The following is a 19,481-nucleotide window of genomic DNA, read 5'->3' as shown; positions in this document are numbered from 1 at the left end:
TACACATCGGACAGGACTGCACATTCCTTAACTTGACAGCAGTCACTGGAAAGAACATTCAATGAACAGGTAACATTTTCATTTCCTTTGCCTCTGTTTTATTTGGGGAATAGGGAGCAGGTGTAGTAAGAAACCCAAGTTCCATAAAAAAGACTCACCTTTGAGGAAAGGGAGGAATTTACATTCCAGATAATGCAAACCTAACACACAGTGATTAAATGAGCAGTGATTTCTACCTGGAGTGCATTTTGTACTCAATAAAAACTAAATTAACAATATCTGTATCTCAGTATAACTTGCAGTTTAATGAAAGACTGAGTTATTACATGTGTCCTCTGTGAGCCATAGGTTTGTCTGAGACTGAGAAAATTAATGTACGTTTATTAAATCACAGCCGATAACACCATTATCTCTAAAAATTGTGCCATACCTAAGCTATCAACTGTATTGTGAAATTAATATGAAATACCTCAATTGATATCTTTTAAGAAAATTATCACAAGAAATATACAAAGTAAAACATAAAAGATTATCTTACATTAAAGACTAATATTAAACTCTAAGTTATTACGTTTGAATGGAAACTTCCCCAGAAACACTTTTCTACTTTTACTTAAAATTGTGCTGCTGTTTCCTATAGTCATTTTCTCTTTCCCTACCCCACCGCCAAGTTTACAGCATTTGTACTTTATATGGAAAATATACATAGTGTCAGACTATCTAATCTTTGCCAGTGAAAAATGGGTGGGAGGTGAGGAGGGTAGAGGGTCCAGCTACATGTATTCAAACCTGAATGAATGTTTCTTTTTCAGCCACTCTTGTGTCAGTAGTTTAGATGCAGTGACAGAGTTTTCCATGGACATGTTAGGGCACAGCCCTTTGTTAAAATTTCCTCTGAGAAAGGCCAGATCTGAATTCCAAGTATTATCTCTGTCAAATTCCTTATTGCTACCATTTCCCCCCCGGGAAGAAAAGCTGTCAAGCATCCTTAAATGGAAGAAGAGAGCCTCTTTTCATTTAAAAATAAAAAAGCTTATTTTCAGCTATAGATAGGGTACTTTCTTTAAAAAGCTGTCTCTCTGAATAATGGCCATTTCACTGCCAAATGTATGTTTTGATCTTGCAGATTACAGAGTGTGACTGCACACAATCCCAGACGAGTCTCAGTTTATTGATGCTCATTAGCTTATACCATTGCTAAAATATGTTTATCTACAATTTGGGATTAGATTAAGGTCAGTGTTTCCAAATCCATGGGCTGCAAGGTGAGCACAGAAATGAATTATCCATGGCTCACCACTCTCCTCTGTCCAGGATAGGAATAGAAGGACAATCAGATTACCCTTGCCTCCTCTTTCTTTCTTAGACAGTGAAGGATACTTTAATAAGGGTAGATGGGAAGGGACTGTACAGTCACATTCTTTTAACATAAAAAGGAAAAAACTATCTGAATTAACGAAGGAACACAAATTGTAGGCTATTTTAAAACTCATCAAAGAAATCTGTACTAACAAAAACTAAATATTAACAAATCATTGTTGAAACCTTAAATCATATTGAACAAGGTGCTTTTGTGACTAGCACGTGAATTATTTGCATGAGAAGATGACTGTTTTACAGTCTCTTGCCTGGTCCATAGTATTAAATGACTTTAGTAAGTCATTTAAAAATGATAAAGAATGCAAAAAGAATTTTCTATTGCTTGTGAAATTTTCTCAAGTGCATTGTTAGTAGGTTCTGTACAGGACATTAGTCTCATTCTGCATTCTTTATATCTGCCAAAGCACATAGCCTAATGTCAATCTCAGAGTTATAATGATGGTCTCAATTTCAAGTTTGGTGCCCAATAATTCCAAACGATACATCCAAACTCATTAGGCTATGTGTTTCTATGTATTTTTTTTCTGAAAATTTGGCCTTTTTTGTGATGTACTGCATGATTAAGTAGTGCCATTTTTTTCTTTCTCTCTTCTTCTGGTAACCTTAAAAATCGTTAGACCTATAATCTTTTGAGGTGTAAATACATTGAAATTTTGAAAACTAAACTTGCTCCTATCAACTATAGGTAAGTCCTAATTGTCATATCAGTAACTACTTTAAATATGCAGTGGATTCAGTGGATTCAGGGAGCCTTTTGTGTTTCTTGGTTTTCTTATGCTTTCTATTCTTTTTGTTTTTCCAAATCAATGGCATAATTACGGAATGACCTTCTTGTTCACTGGAAGGCTTAGGGACACTTCGTTTATTTTATTTTATTTATTTATTTATTTATTTATTTATTTATTTATTTATTTATGAGATGGACTCTTGCTCTCTCATCCAGGCTGGAGTGCAGTGGTGCAATCTCAGCTCTCTGAAACCTCCGCCTCCCAGATTCAAGCAGTTCTCCTACCTCAGCCTTCCAAGTAGCTGGAACTACAGGCGTGCACCAGCATGCCTGGCTAATTTTTGTATTTTTAGTAGAGATGGGGTTTTGCCATGTTGGCCGGGCTCGTCTCGAACTCCTGACCTCAGGTGATCTGTCTGCCTTGGCCTCCCAAAGTGCTGGGATTACAGGCGTGAGCCACCACACCCGTCCTCAGGGACACTTCTGCATCCATATAAAAATAGATTTAATAAACTCATGATCTCTGGGGCTTGTTTTGTTTGCATTATGTGGCTTTCTTTATGCCTTATTACATTTGTCTGTTCTCCCACCTACCTGCACTTCCTTTCTTTCTATTAAGATTCACTCTTCTTACTTCTTCATTTCCAGTATTGTTTCTTCCGTTATCTTTTTTCTTGTCTTCTTAGAAGAATAAAAACTCTGGAGTTAAAAAAAATATTTAAGCAGACCTTCCAAGTACTTTTGGCTTCTCACAGAAAATAGTGTATTTAAGAGGCAGAGACAACACAATTACATATAACATTAGTGTGAACAAAGCATCAAGGGCTGAAGTTCAATTCCTATTTGCAGTCCAGTGCCCAAGTATTGGAGAGAAGGGGCATCTAAGGACAAGTACTTGACCTCGCTTTTGACTTGGGTATAGGGAAGAAACACTTCACATAGTATATTTTTGAAAAATGTACTTTGATGGATGTCTGGAGTAGATAATAAGATCTTTGTATTACCATTTTATTACCAGAATGAAAAGATCAAATGGATATTAGTTATCACCAATTTTTATGTAGATAAAAATGGAAAGCAATAAAAGAATGCAAAATGTCAACCACTGGCACTTAAGCCATATTAGATTGCTTTGATCAGGCTGCCATTTGAGAAGCTACTTAAAAAGATATGAGGAAATTTCTAGGGGCTGGAGCTTGTTAACATAAAGTAAATATTCAGTTTAGAGTCGCTGCTTGATGCCTGAGAGCAGAAAACTGTAAAAGGGAGTCTTTCGCCTCTGCCTTCACACAGCAGTCACTTGATTTGTGGAGTTCTGCCAGTCATTGCCTGTCAGTGACTGGTGCTATCCACCTGCCTAGGATAGAAGCTGCTCAAGGAATAAGGGAAGTTCAAAGTATAAATAAAGAAAACAGAAGTCTCGTTGTTTTTTGTTGTTGTTTCTGTGTTGTTTTACTTAAAGTATATGTGAAGGGAATGAAAAGAAAGTTTATAAATTATTATTTTCAGCAAAAATCAAAAAAAATTGCATGTAAAATGTAAAGAATGAACATAGATTTCTGACAGAAAACAAATAAAAACAGGCAGTGTATTGGCACATGGCAATGAGTCTTTAGAATAATATCGAAATTGAGGCTGGGTGCTGTGGCTCACGCCTGTAATCCCAGCAGTTTGGGAGGCTGAGGCGGGTGGATCACCTGAGGTCAGGAGTTCTAGGACCAGCCTGACCAGCATGGTGAAACCCCGTCTCTACTAAAAATACAAAAAAACTAGCAGGGCATAGTGGCAGGTGCCTATAATCCCAGCTACTTGGGAGGCTGAGGCAGGAGAATTGCTTGAACCTGGCAGGCGGAGGTTGCACTGAGCCAAGGTTGCGCCATTGCACTCCAGCCTGGGTGAGAGAGCAAGACTCCTCTCAAAAAAAAAAAAAAAAAAAAAAAAAAAAAATGAATAAAAATAAATGAATAAATGGAAGCCCATTTAAATTATCCACATGTTTAAACTTATGAGAATTGTAAAGAAGAATACAGCTTTCATTGCATATTTAGATGACTACATGGATTAGGCAACAGAATGATACTGTGAGTGGTTGAAAAGTAGATTGCTTTGGTCTATTTTAGTGAATGATTAATCTACTGATTGCTTATATGCAAATATAAAATGCTGTGATATTCTAAAAACTACTCTTGTGCAGTTTAAGAATGCATGTTGAAACCAAGCACAGTTATTAATTTATTCACGTTAAGCATTATTGATACTGCAGAGACTCTCAAAGTAATGCAACATTCTTGAGTGTTGACCAAATTGATCAAATTCTCTTCAATTGTTGAGAGTCGGCATTATAACAATTGCCTAGGTAAAAAGTATTATAAAATCCAAGAAAGTTTTAGAAGAAACATTCTAAACTTGATATTCTCTTATTAGTTTCTGTGAAAAGGGAGTTTCTTTTATACAAATATCCCCAAATCTAAGAGAACACAGCATGTTGGCCAGATGTTTTTATTTGTTGTCGTTATGAAGAGCTGCTTCTAAACATACCCCACTTCCTCCATTGTTTTGAGTTTCTTCTCTTCCTTCCTTTACTGTATTCTTCTCTGCCTTCCTCCCTCCTTTTCTTCCTTTCTGCTCTCTCTCTTTCTTTCTGTCATCCCTTTCACTGGCTGTATACTCTCTATATGTTGTATATTCGACTTTTCTAGAAAGAGAATCTAGTGAATCTATTACTTATCCTTGTCCCGTTGGACAAATCTTTCAGTTCAGGTCGCCCCATAAGCTACTCACCAGATCTTAGTTTTGGTGGCAGATGATCCAGTTGCTGGATCCAATTGGATCCACTGGTGATCCAAATAGCTGTCATTAGAATAGAGGCCACATGATACACTCTCCTCAGAGCAGATGTAGGAGCAGCAAGCTTTCTACACAAGCATCTTTTCTATATGTTGTCTGACTGAAAATTGTTTTCAGTTTAGCTATAAAATACCCATGAGAATTACAATCTGTTCAACAGATTACTGGCTAACATGTGGTACATAAGTCAAGTGGGCAAGGCTCTTTAAATCATGGGGACGGTCAAAGAATTTGGAGATTGAAATGTTTTGTGTGCTCAGAACTCTTATCCACTTCTTTTACTTATTAACAATGTGAGCAAAAAGCAAGATGGATAAGAAATGCATTATGAAAACAGTTTTCCTGAAGATGAATAAGAAATACTAAAAGGCTAAATTACTTTATTTTTAATGTACTTAAAATTGGATTGTTTATTATTACTTGTTCTTTGAGTTCATCATTCATACAATTGTGGAAATTCTTCACTCTCCAACTGCACTTCCCAGGATATCAGTCTAAATACAGACTCGAAATATTTTATGCATAGTACTATTGAAATTAATTAAATTTCAAAGACAATTGCCTTTTTCTACAGATAAATGTTATGGTTAAAATTGCTTTTGAAATGCGTGATTTAAGATATGAGTTAACAAAATCCCTTTTAAATGTTGCTTACGAAGAATGTAGGTTTCTAGTGAAGTGCACCCATTAAATTTTCAAATACATGGAGAAATCAACCAGCTTTGGAACCAGGAAGTTTCCAGTGTAAATAAGTATGAACTTCTATACAACTTAAAGAATTCTAAAATGTTTTACATTTCAGTAGGCGCAAAGGAAGTAGTTTATGCATGTAAAAATTAAAACCAAAATATTATAGAACAAACATACTGTAATGACATGTCTTAAAGTTGTTTTTACAGATTTTTCATGAATTATAAGTTTCTAGTAAAGAAAATAAAAAAGAAATTTTTAAATCAAATAATGCAGGTGTTCTCTTAGTAGTCAGACATATTCACCTAATAGTGTTGAAATAGGCAGATAAATATGGAGTTAGACCATTATGATGAGTACAATAAATAAAAATTGTAGAAACCCCATAAAATAAATTCTGTTTAATAAATCAACTGAGAAATTTTATACTGCTAAAAATAATATATTGGTAATCAAGAAATTCTTTATGCAATCAATTAAGTAAAATTAGTTCAGCCAATAGGCAGTGAAGAAGTAATCAGCATCTCCTATTTTTTTTGAGTTATCAATTATGGAACAGGCAAGGGACCTTCATAACAAAATTGCTTTTCTATTATGTTTCTGGAAGTATATCCCTCTAAATGTTTATATCTGCTGGTGAGATTGAGGTAATTTTTAGTTTTTTTTTCTATTCATCATCTATAATTTCTACAATGTTTTTTCTTTGCTATTGTGATTAAAAAATCAAAAGTGGGTAAAAGTAAAATATAATTTAAACCAATCCCACCAATATTTAGGATAAAGCTACACTAGATCATATATTTGTAATACATCATGTACATTTTAAATTAATTTACAGGCTAAATTTCCTACTAATTTTGACTCTCAAAATAGAATGAATATCTTTCAGAACAACATTTTGTTCCTAATCAGAAATAGTATTCATATTTGGAGGCTAAAGGAAACAGAAAATACATAAAAGTAGCCTAGGATTTCAATTTTCACAGAAAAGTTTTATTAATGTCTTAAATGCCCTTATAGCACATAATACTTGGCACATTATGTACTTAATATATAACACATGGTATAATATGTGCTTCTTTAAAAATATAGAGCCATGGTATAGGAATGTTTTGCACCCCGTTCTCTAATTTTAGCAACATCTTGTAAACATTATGTCCTGTCTTTGATTAAAACATACAATATTTTTAAATGTAATCTATTGTTTCTCTTAGATTTTATGCCAAGGTTATATAAAGCAATTCCAGGTCACTGAGCCAGTTGAAGTAACATATAATAGGGAGGAAAAATATGTCTACCAATGGAAATTATACCATGATTCTTCAGTGATCTCAGTTTTCTCAGATGATAACTGGTTGGGAGCATCTGTGAACAAGATCATGAGAAATAAACCAGATTTGAATAGCCACACATGAGAAGATGCTTCTAGATGTGTTAGTATAAGTTATCGTCCTTGACTGTAACCTACTAATAGAAAATCTAACATAATCTTACCTTAGGAAGATCAACCAGAAACAGGCACAGAGACATAACTCAACATTTCTATCAGTGGTTTGACCAGTTCCAAGGAACCTTCACACACTGTCTCTTCAGATAAACCAAGTTAATTTGGCCTAAGATTTAATTGCTAAGTTATTGTTATAGTTGGACAATTGCCATTTTAGAACATTTCCTGGAGCATAAGGTGAGCCATTCATTTCAGAAGACATTTGCCCAAAGATAACTTCAAAGAATTAATTCCAATATTTTTCAATTACTAAAATAAATGGTCAAAGAGAATCATAGAATTCAAGCCACTGACTAAAAGCTAGCTTAATAAATAATCCAGTGATGATTAAAGAAAACAATTAAGTTAGCACTGTCATTAAAATCTTAAAATTCAAATAAAGAAGGGTTTAGCTAATAATTATATCATTGCTTAGAAAAAATATATTGCATTCGAATGTTCACATGATGAATGCATTAATAATCATGTACAGTTTGTCCATAGCCTTCATTTGAACAATCATTATGTAAAGAAACAAAAAGAAAGCAAGACACGAGATGCTACCATTCATCAATTGTCACATTTCTTAGAATTTGTTTTCTTTAAGCAAATAGGTCCATAAAGTTGACAATACTGAGAAATAGATTTCTACGCATTATAATGACTTCCCAGTAAAAAGAAAGGAAGAAAAAATAAATAAACTTAATAAAGGCAGAAACTTAGGGTTTTTTTCTCTAATATGCTTCTTACTTTTGGAAAAAGTTTATACTAGAATATCTCAAAAATACTGAGGATGAACTAAATTTTGTGAATTCAGTCATGTACTTAATAATATTCAGCTATCCTTATGTTAAGAAGAAATGGAAAGTAAAAGGTAAATTCATTGATCTTGAATTATGAAAAAATGTACATCCTTCTTGACCTCATTAAAAAAATGCTATAACTATTACAGTGGTGTATTTAGACATGGAATGATATATTTAATTTTAAAAAAATGCATTTGTGACTATAATCCATGGCTTCGTTTATGGAATATCAGTTTACATTTTGTAAATATCCAAATGCTCAGGACCCATATGCTTTTTGATTTTTTTTTATTCAGACAACTTGGCATTGTGTATGTATTGCAGAAAATACATTAAATGAGTATTACTATAAATCAGTATAACCCTTTTCTTTAACACTACACAAACACTGAATACATTTTCAGTTTTTAATGCTTACTCAAAAGCAAATTGAACTATTTAGTACTCAATTTTATATCTGCTAGCTGTCCTGTTATGTGATAAGCATCCCTTGGAATTGACCTTTTGAAAAAAATAAAATCACAGTCTGAATTGTTACTTTCATTGTATTAGGCTTATTTTATTATACTTCTTAAACTTGCCAGTTGAGCTAGATTAGATTTAAAGATTGCTAGTTTTAGAACATTTTTTCTAGAAATATATTTATTTAATTTGTGTTCATTTTTACTGTGTTGTAAATGTAATTCTCTTCTTAAAAAGTAAATTATAATTCTTAAAATGTATGTTTTTCGCATTGAAATATATTTACATAAGAGATATTTATCCTTGTCTGTCATAAATGGGTACAATCAATGACAAAACTACAGAGGCTTAATGTTTCTTAGTAGATGAAGTAGGTGATTTTAACCTTGTTTATTCGTTTGCATAGGCAATGATATTTATAGGCCAGAAGAAATAGAGCAGGAGGTGAAGCATCGAGAAATACTGAAATTTATTTTGTAGATAATAGAATAAGTTTGCTATCATTTAGGAAAATGGCAGAAAAGTCTCTGGAGGGTGTTTCCAACAACTCTCCAAGGTCACATCCACTTGAGGACAAGATCTGTGTTTTTTTATAATTAAATACTCAGTAAGTTTTGAGTTCCCCCAATTTCTAAGCCAACTATTTCCTTTGGACTCGGAAGTTATTCACTGCTAACCTTAGGTCATTTTGTTCCACTAGGCTGTATGCATCATGAAGTTTATTTTCAATGTAACTGAGCGAAAAAGCTGTCCAAATAGTTATCCAGATAACTGAGTTACTCAAGTTCTCCAACTGTAGGGGTTACCAAATTCCATCCTGCTAAATATGAAAACAGGAGGACAGAGTTTTCTTTATATTTACCTTTCTTAGTGAATGGAGGCATTAAAAGATGGAGTTACTTTTCATCAACTACTTGGCTTAATTTAATATCAAGGGGTATTTCATCTACCATTTAAAAAAAAGTCCCACAAAGTTTACACAAATAAACCCATTCAACAAATACTTAGTGAATTGCCGTTATGTTCAAGGCACTGAGCTATATCATATTTTCTCTGAGATTTTAAACTCATTGAGGAGAAGATAAAAATGACAACATAATACTGATGATAGTTACTTTTATCACTACTATAATTGAAAGCTTACCATAAATCAGATTATGGTAAGCTTCTTGCGTTATTAAGATGCATTAAACCTTTGATTAAAAGTAGTTTTGAGTTATTAAGATGCATGAAACCCATTTACATTGTTTCTAGTATTAGCTTATGAGATATATGAGGATACTGAGGCATGCAGAAAGTAAGAAGGTTGCTCAAGGTCACACAGCTAATAACTTGTAGAACCAGGATAAAACTCAACAGTCTGTGTGGGTCAAAAAATAAATGCAATATAGTTGGTCAGCACATGACTATTTAATTTCTCCAGTGGATTTTTTAAAGTTTATAAAATGTCTTTCTCTGTTATTAGTGTTCATTTTTGAAAAACAAACATCAAGCTGAATGTCTGACTTTATATCATTTAGTCAAAGTACTTTTTAACTGGGATGAGTATTTCTAGTATTTTTAGCATAAAGAAATGTGTCTGTCCTTAGGACTCTATCTCTTTGCTTATTAAAAAAAAGGAGGCAAGCATCTCTTTATGGGACATTCTGAATAGTTCTCAAGGGTATATCCTTGGCTAAATTGAGGAGCACTTGAGGAGGAATAGAGAAGGAAAAGAGAAAGGAGTTACATGGGTCAGCAGGTAGTTTTGCTTCCTGGTTCTGAGGGTTATTGGTGTATCACCAAGCCCAGTTCATGATTGGCACCAGGCCTGGCCAGCAAAACAAGCCTGAGACAGCTTCTCTGATACCCCAGAGACCATGTCATTAAGTGTGGATACTCTGGGGAAGGTGACTCAACTATGCTTCTCACATAGATAAATGAAGAATTTTGCCTCCAGCCTTGTCTGCTCATTCCTGAATGTAGAATCTACTAAAGGAAGCATCAAAAATAAATAAGCACAAAACTTATACTCCTAAAAAGAACTGGCTTCAACAGCATACAACTTATGCAGTCACACCGTGCCATATGCTGAGCTTGTGTTGTGCTTGGGTTAATGCTCCACTGCTACCATCTTGAAATTCTTAATTTTGAATAAGGACTCCACATTTTTATTTGCAATGGACTCTCAAATTATGTGGCTCATCCTGCCTCTAGTAATGTTAAGAGGCAGAAAAAGGAAAATTTAGAAGTGCCATTTACATGTCTAAATTTAATTTGTAATTGAATGTTCTAGCTGATTCTTGTGAAAAATTAAAACAAACAGGTTTCACTCACAACTCAATACCTAAAAATTGAGAAGGATAAAATAGAAACCTGTAATGAGGAGTTAATCTCCTTTGAATTTTTTTAACTGGAGGACAGATTACTTTAAAACCAGAAAGTAATGGGAAAGTCAAATAGTAGGCTGAAGGTGTCATAATTACAACCTGGGAAACATATCCTCTCATCATTTGTAGGTAGGAAGTACTGCTGCCAGCAACTATGACTCAGGCATCAAGCAGTGGTAGCTCCTGCTTCCATCTTCTCATCATTGTCACAATGACAAGGCTTGCTTCCAGCTTCTCACAAGGTCCTGCCTCACCCCAGAGACTACAGTCCCCAAAGTCAACTGCCAAATAAAACTTGTTAGTACCTGGAAAAGTTGATATACGTAGAAACCTAATAACCAAATTTTTAACAAAGGTGCATGCAGACACACACACACACACACACACACACACACACACACACACACCCCAAGCATTTAATGAATGTTTCTATTCTAAATTTGCAGAAAAGGAAAGGAACCTAATTTATCCTAGATTTTATAAGTAGAAGGACTTTGCAATTGATTTGTGTCATTTAAAGCAGTGGTCTCCAAACTTTTTGGCATGAGGGACTGGTTTCATGGAAGACAATTTTACCACAGACGGGAGTGATTTCAGGATAATTGAATTTCACTACATGTATCATCCACCTTATTTCTATTACTATTACATTGTAATATATAATGAAATCATTATACATCTCACCATAAGGTAGAATCAGTAAAACTAGAGGTTGTTTACCAGCAACTAGAGAGTCTCATCTGAGGGTAATGGGAGACAGTGACTGATTATCAGGCATTAGATTCTCCTAAGGAGCATGAAACCTAGATCCCTTGCATGTGCAGTTCACAATAGGGTTTGCATTCCTGTGAGAATCGGTTGTCACTGCTGATCTGACATGAGGTGGAGCTCAGATGGTGATGTGAGTAATGGAGAGCGGCTGTAAATACAGATGAAGCTTCTCTGGCTTGCCTGCTGCCCACCTCCTGCTGTGCGGCATGCTTCCTAACAGGCTGGTACCTGTCTGTGGCCTGGGGGGTGGGGAGCCCGGGCTTAAAGCCTTTAAAAATTGATTTTAGTTGTTTCTTAAGAAAACAAACAGCAGTAAAAAAGTTAGGAGAATTAGTATTTTTAAGGTTATGTTACAGTTAGTGGCAATATCGAATCTAAAACTCAGGTTTCCTCGCACTTAAATTCTTGAGTATGTTTCTGTTATTCTTTAATATGCAATGCAGAATTTATGGGAAACGTTTAAATTATCTATACGTGTTTATCTTACAGGGTCTTGAACACTATAGCTCTCAAGCTAGCTCCCTGTTTTAATGAAGCTTTACTGAAACACAGCCACTCCATTTGTTTACATACATTCTATGCTTGCTTTTACATTGCAATAGTAAAGTTGAAGAGTTGCAATGGTGAACACATGGTCGGCAAAGTCAAATAAATTTACTGTCTGGCCCTTTACAGAAAAAGTGTTTTGACTTCTGACCTATTAGAATGTAAGTTCCTTTGACTGTAACTCGGATATTCCCAATGCTGAGATCGGTATTTGGCACAAAATAAATTTTAAACAAAATTAATAGCATATGGGTGCCATGGAACCCAGAATAAATGAGTAGCTAAATGGGATAAACAACAGACACAATATGGACCATTCAGTTTTAAAATTTTATAATTCTCAGATGCTATGGTACTGTAACTTCTCTTCCTAATTCAATTACCAGGTGCTGTAGGTCTAAATATATTGAACAATCATGTATAAATATAGAACCAATTTATACATATAAGGTGATTCTAGTATTTTTAAAAAATTCCTGCCTGTCCATCATCTGTGCAATTTGTTAGGTGATGGTTTTGCAGAAATACCCATCAAAATCTTCATGCTCGATAAATGGTTTAATTGAGTAAGTCAGATTAACCACTGAAATAACTAGGTAGAATTTTAAAGTAGAAATTACAATGAATATGTTAGACAAATAAAGTGAACTTTAGAACCAATTGGTTTGCACTGTACCAGAGTATATATATACCAGAAGCAGGGTACACCATAAAGATAGTTCATTTATGTAGTTAACCTCTTTAAAATATATGCACCACTAGAGGGAGAAAGCTACCTAAAGGGTGTGTAGAGATGCAATGAGTTTACACTTGGGGCACATACATCTAAGAGTTTAAAACTCCAAATATAACTGCTATGGGTTTTTGTTTTTGTTTTTTTTCAAGTTTCTGTACAGCTACATCCACCTTTCAGTTCCAGAGGCATCTGCCAGTTTTGTCTCTTAGAGGTCTTTGCTTCCATTGCTTGAAAGGGTCTCAGCTTTGTTTTATTCTTCTCTATTTCTCTTCACTATATTTTCCCTCCACATTCATAAACCAGTATAAATTGTTCACAAGATATTTGCACAGAAGGCTTTGTAGCAAAAAGCATCCAAATTTAGTATCATGTACATCTTATTTTAACCCAGCAAGATTAAGCATGTCGTTATTGATCTATTTCAGGTTCCCTTGCAAGTGTATTTTACATTTATTTTTATATTCAGGGTGAATGCTTAGGAATTAAATAACCAAACACAAATACTGTGAAATCTCAGGTTAAAATGGCAACTGTTCCAAAAAATTTGACTTTGGGAGGCCTAATTTCAAAAAACTAGACTGCAGTGTGCGTGTTCAAATAAAAATTGTGGATGTTTCTTTCAATATACATTTTTATATAGTGTATAGTGTATTTGACTGTCAACCATTTTTTAATGGTAGATCCTTTGGTGGTTTGCAGAACTCATGCACTGTTACTTAACTTATTTTCCATAAAAAGGAGAGAAAGGAAATTAATATTCATTGAGATTACACAAAGTGCAAAGCACCAAACACATTAGATTTGTTATATCCCTTAGTCCTTACAACAAATCTATGAAATAAGGTAGGCATTATTATCTCACATTTATAGATGATGGAAGGAAAGCTCAAAGAAGCTAACATACCCAAGCCTAAGCAACCAGAAAATGCAATACCTGCTTTCAAATCCAAGTTTATATAACTCTCAACCAAGTTCAAGCTTTTCTTATGATGCATGCAGATCTCCCCTGAAATATATGAGAATCTACATTTGAACCAAATGTAAAGAGGTATGTGAAAAAACACACCCGTTTCATCACTGCTTCCGAAACTGTGTATGGCAGTGAGGTTCTTTGTAAATTGTACTGATTCTGCTATCCAAAGCAGGTGGGTTTGTTTAAAATGTATTTAGAACAATATTTTTTGAATATGTAAAAATATAAATAGGGAAAGGAATGATATGCAAAGGTCAAAGAATGTTTACCCTCTCTGACTTTGGCCAGACAATTAGGTAATGCATGTTAGGTCCTAAATAAGTTCAAGACCCAGGCATTAGTTTCATCCTGCCAATAACAAGGAAGACAGAGGCAAGGCAACTAACCTCCCATGGAGATGTCTGTAAAAGGAGAGCTGGACTAAGTAGCATAGCTATGCATCCCTTGAATGCTATTCTTTCTTTCTTAAATACATTCACTTAGTAGTCTGTGCTTCAGTACTTTCAAATATAATTTATAGTGATTAACAAAATTTATAGTGATTAACAAAAATAGTTGTAACATAATTACATGTTGTCAAAAGAAAAAAGTTATCACCATTAAAATTTGACTATATAAAATAATAAACACATTTTCTAGCACGTATTAATATTGTCCTCTGGCTTCACTTGAGTGTAGTAATTCTTGGGTAGAAGAGCCTCTTTAAGGCTTGGTCTGCTCTCTGCCTACTGTGCCAAAACAAAAGTGATGAAATTAGTAACAGTAATAATAAAAATAAAAAGCTTGCACCATTAGAGATATTCACTATAACATTGCACTCTTTCATGTAGCCGCGAGGTAGTTTTGGTCCTTCTAAGAATGACAATAGTTTGAAGTTGGCTGTAGGAAAGTTTTTTTTTTAATATGCTTTTATATGGGATTATCATTTTACAGATAAAAATAGGAATAGAGAGAATACATGTCGTCTTCAAGGTAACATAATTAGTTGATGACAGACTGGGGACAAAATCCAATTTTCTTTACCATTACCTCCCATAACTACAAATTATAGCATGAAATTTCCTTTGTTCTGAGACTAATATTTAAAGAAACCTAAGAATCATGTTGATGTGAAAATGGAAGTAAAAGTCATTAGCAAATGTGGTTACTAAAATGGCCAAAAATCTACCATCTTTTGAGTGTGTGTCTCTCTCTCTATCCCTCTCACACACACACACCCACATACACACATATACTTGCTAACACACATTTTCCTCTGTCGGTACCATGCCTCAAGTTAGGGTTAACTCCAGCCCTTCTTAGGAGTTAATCTTAGAGACACCTTGAATTTATGGATGGGTAGGTTGTGGAAGAACACTCAATTTACACTGAATTAAGGAAAACTGAAATGTTTACTGCTTCTACTTCCATCTGTTATCAATAGGTTTTAGCTACAGGGTCACCAGCAAACCCAGTGAATATCACCAGCCAAAAAATTTGGCTGTTGTACCATAGATTAGGTCAAACTCTGTTGACAAGCACTGACAGACTTATTAAACTCAGACTCAGATTTTGGTGTGCCTTGAGAAATTCATTCTAAATCAGCATTGTCTAATGAACAGAATAATTTTTTAAAAGTTTGTTAGGGCTGGGCGCACTGTGGTCCGCACCTGTAATTCCAGCACTTTGGTAGGCCAAGGCTGGCAGAGATCAGGAGTTCGAGACCAGACTGGCCTCGAACATGGTGAAACTCCATGTCTATTAAAATACAAAAATTAGCTGGGCATGGTAGTGGGTGCCTGTAATCCCAGCTCCCTGGGAGGCTGAGGCAGGAGAGTCACTTGAACCTGGGAGGCAGAGGTTGCAGTGAGCCGAGATTGCACCACTGCACTCTAGCCTGAGCAACAGAGCGAGATTCTGTCTTAATAATAATTAAAAAAAAAAAAGCTTGTTAGACTGAGAGTCTAGAGACCTATGCTTCTTAATTTAACAGTTGTGACAATGGGGACGTCATCTAATGTCTTTGCACTTCATGTTTCTTATTTGTAGATGATGATTGAAATTCTACACTTCTCATGTCCCTCCTAGTTCTAAAATTCTTTAATATAACATTAGCCTGTAGAGCTGAATTCTGACCTGGTCTGGTGAAATATTAGCTGGGGGCATTCAGTCCCGTTGTACCTCTTACACTACTTGCAGATCATTTTCTGTGGAAAACACATTTTAATGAAAATAGAAAATTTCAAAATCTCAGTCTTCTCTCTACTTCTTACTGCCTTTGAGACTTAATAATTCGCTCAACACTTTTAAATCTGCTTCTTTAACTATAAAATGAAAAATTAATATATCTGGCTTAAATAATATGTTACAGTAAAAATCAAGTGTAAAATTACAAACAAATCAAAACTCCCTACAAAACATAAGGAATGATGTCTTTTAATAGACATAAGGCTATGGTCTTTCTTTTCTTTCTTTCTTTTCTTTTGTGGTTTTTTTTTTTTTTTTTTTTTTTTTTTTGAGATGGAGTCTCTCTCTGTCATCCAGGCTGGAGTGCAATGGCGAGATCTCGGCTCACTGCAACCTCCGCCTCCTGGGTTCAAGCAATTCTCCTGCCTCAGCCTCCTGAGTAGCTGGGATTACGGGTTCCTGCCACTACACCCAGCTATTTTTTGTATTTTTAGTAGAGAGAGGGTTTCACCCTGTTGGCCAGGCTGGTCTCAAACTCCTGACCTCGTGATTCTCCCGCCTCAACTTCACAAAATGCTGGGATTACAGACGAGAGCCACCATGCCCAGCCAGCTATAGACTTTCTTAAAAGTCTTTAAAATATTGCCCACTGTGTTAGTCTTCTTGGGCTGTTACAACAGAATACCATAGATTGGATGGCTTAAACAACAGAATTTTTTTTTCACCTCAGTTTTTTGAAGGCTTGAAGTCAAAGATTGAAGTGTCAGCAGATTTGGCTCTTGGTGAGGGCCTTCTTCCTGGCTGGTAGGCAGCCACCTTCTCTTTGTATCCTCACATGGCAGAGGGGACGCTCTGGTGTTTGTTCCACTTCTTGTGAGGGCCCTATCCCATCATGGGACTCCACCCTTATCTAAACCTAATCATATCTTGAAGGCCCCACCTTCTCATACCATCACTTTGTGGGTTAGAAATTCAACATAGTGAATTCTGAGGGACACACACATTAAGTCTGTAATACATTGATGCAGGGAGAAAGACGTTGGCACAACTGATGCATGGTTTGATATCCCCCAAAGGAAAGGAAATCCTGAAAGGTCATTAACAGCTTGAAGTTACTATAATTTTGCCATTAAAATTATAGCAAGAGGACAAACTCTCAAATTCAAAATTTCAACAGTTAAACCATCTTTCTTTAACAAGTTTGTATATGTTAAATTCTGTGAGAAAGTGAAATTCTAAAGGAACTGTAAAGATCAGCTGGAAACTCTCCTCACTTTATGGATGGGAATGCTGAGACCACCAGAAGTTGAGTGTGTTAGCAAATTGCTGATTGTGGGTGGAGACAGGTCCTAAAATGATGTCCCTTCTTCTGTGTCATATCTTTAGGAACAGTCATTTCAGCATCCCTAGATAGACATTGTATTACTTAGAGATTTGCTTCCACCAGGACTTGTGCAGAGGGTGTGTAGGATTTGCTAGCAGTGTGATCATTCTGTAGGGCAAGCTGGGAGTCACCACAAAGAGGATCTTTTCCATCTCCTTTGTTCCAATATGGGGAAAGTGAGAAATTAAGTTGTTAGCCAAAGATTCTCATAACTACGAGGCTGAATAATGCAGGGAAAAGCATGCAGGCTTTGAGTAGGTCAGGCCAAGGATGAAACTTGGTTCTACCACTTTTTAGCTGTGTGACCTGGCGACAAGTAGTTGTAGCTTTATAGGCCTTCAGTTTCACATCTGCAGATTAATAATGTAAAGGTGAAGCAAGACAACAGACAAAGTGCCTGCTACATAATAAGCACTCAGCAACCCCCAACTTCTTTTTTAGTAGGAAATCATGATCTAGCAACTGCAATTCTTAACTCCCAGTCTAGTGCACTTTCCATTACACTTCATGTTGCATGGGTAACATTGTGTTGAAGTGAGACTATTAAGTGCCTTTTTAAAAACCTTATCTTCTAAAATCAATCTGTTCACAATTTTAATAATGCATGAAAGGAGCTAGAAGTTGGCGCACAGAGATTTTTATGAACCAAAGGGTTATTTTTAATTGGATTTTATGCCTGTTGTTATGGAAATAGTTGTTGCATAGATTAAGCATTATGACTTTACTGCAAGATCAAGCCAAGGATGGGGTATAACGATGATATCACCCTTATGTATGCTTCCTTTCCTTGACAAAATATATTTAAAAAAGAAAAGAATAGAAGTGAAGCTGCTTCAAAAGCACATATTTCTAACAAAAAAAAAAAGTTCCCTATAAAAATAGCTCTAAAATGATATGTTCTCTTTTCAAGGATCAAAATGAAAGATGACCCTTACTGCCAGCAGGATGCTAAGATGCTGCAGAGTTATTAAACACTTCTTTCTTCACTATTGAATTTAGAAAGAGTTTTTTTTTTTTCATCCTGGAACTTGCTTTCAACATTTGATCTCAAAGTATTTTTGCAGTTGCTGGACTAGCAGGCTTTCTCTAGTTATTTAGCCATCAATCTCTTAAAACTGTTATATCTAGAATAGTTTTAAATTCATGTATCTGGAGTTGTAATTTAATTTCTCTAAAGATACAAACAGATATAAATAACTGAGGCAATTCATCCTTTAAAATTTAGCTCATATCACTGGCTCATTTCTAACCTGAGATACACCAGCCAAGGATACAACACTTGAATTATTAGTAGCACCATAAGAGAGAAATCAATAGGCTGGTGGATAGGGTGTAGTTCTGAAAGAAAACAATGATCTCATGTGGATGGAAAACTGAGGTTTATTTTACTTGGTTCTCTGTCTCTTACTCGATCTCTCTTGCTCTCCTCTTTTTTTTTCTTCTTCTCCTTGGCCTGTATCTTTACTTTCTCATATATCCTCCCGTGATCCTTGGGCATTAATTGGTTTTGCTGGCAGAATTTGGTTAAACAAATTGTGAACTCCAATCCTGATTCTCAATTCGTTGAAAGACATGAAACTCAATGATATAATGCCCTTCATTATTTTAATGTACCAGCATGTTTCCATACTTAAAAAAACACCAGGGAAAAAATTCATTACCAAACAATGTATCTTTAATGTTATTTTTTCTCAATGACTCATAATGTCAGATTAGTAGAAATACTTATTTTTTAAATAAAAATATCTGGTTATGTTAAAAGCATTTTCCCTTGCTTTTTTTTTTTTTTTTTTTTGAGGTGACGGATATAGTCTAACTTAATCATTTCAATAATTTCTACCAAACACCTTTCTGAAATAATATGTCTCTGCTGAGTCCATTTAAATTTCATTTGCATAGGTTTATATAGATTCACTAGCAGTTACTTTCCCAGTTATACTTCTTGCCCACTCGATGCCCACTGGTAATCCCTTGCTCTCTACTGTTGTTTAATATCACTACTTTTCCTTCATGCTCAACAGTTGGCCCTTTATTGGCTGTGCCTATTTTTTTTTTTTCTTTCCTTTTCTTCGGTCCACTTACTGTGAGTCAATACTTATACCTACACCTGCCAGAAGTGCCTCTGCCACACACAGACA

The 19,481-nt window shown here is 35.1% G+C and overlaps 1 protein-coding gene across 15 annotated transcripts in view; it reads left to right on the top strand.

Annotated features, from left to right (window-relative positions):
* NRXN1 (neurexin 1) overlaps positions 1-19,481 on the top strand; it is a 1,113,630-nt gene that overhangs the window by 505,358 nt on the left and 588,791 nt on the right. The gene's annotated exons all lie outside the window — the stretch shown is intronic.

Source organism: Homo sapiens, chromosome 2 (genome assembly GCF_000001405.40).
Source record: "Homo sapiens chromosome 2, GRCh38.p14 Primary Assembly".
NCBI classification, from domain to species: domain Eukaryota; kingdom Metazoa; phylum Chordata; class Mammalia; order Primates; family Hominidae; genus Homo; species Homo sapiens.
The sequence above is the reverse complement of the archived record's forward strand: the minus strand, read 5'-3'. Positions and strand labels throughout refer to the sequence as shown.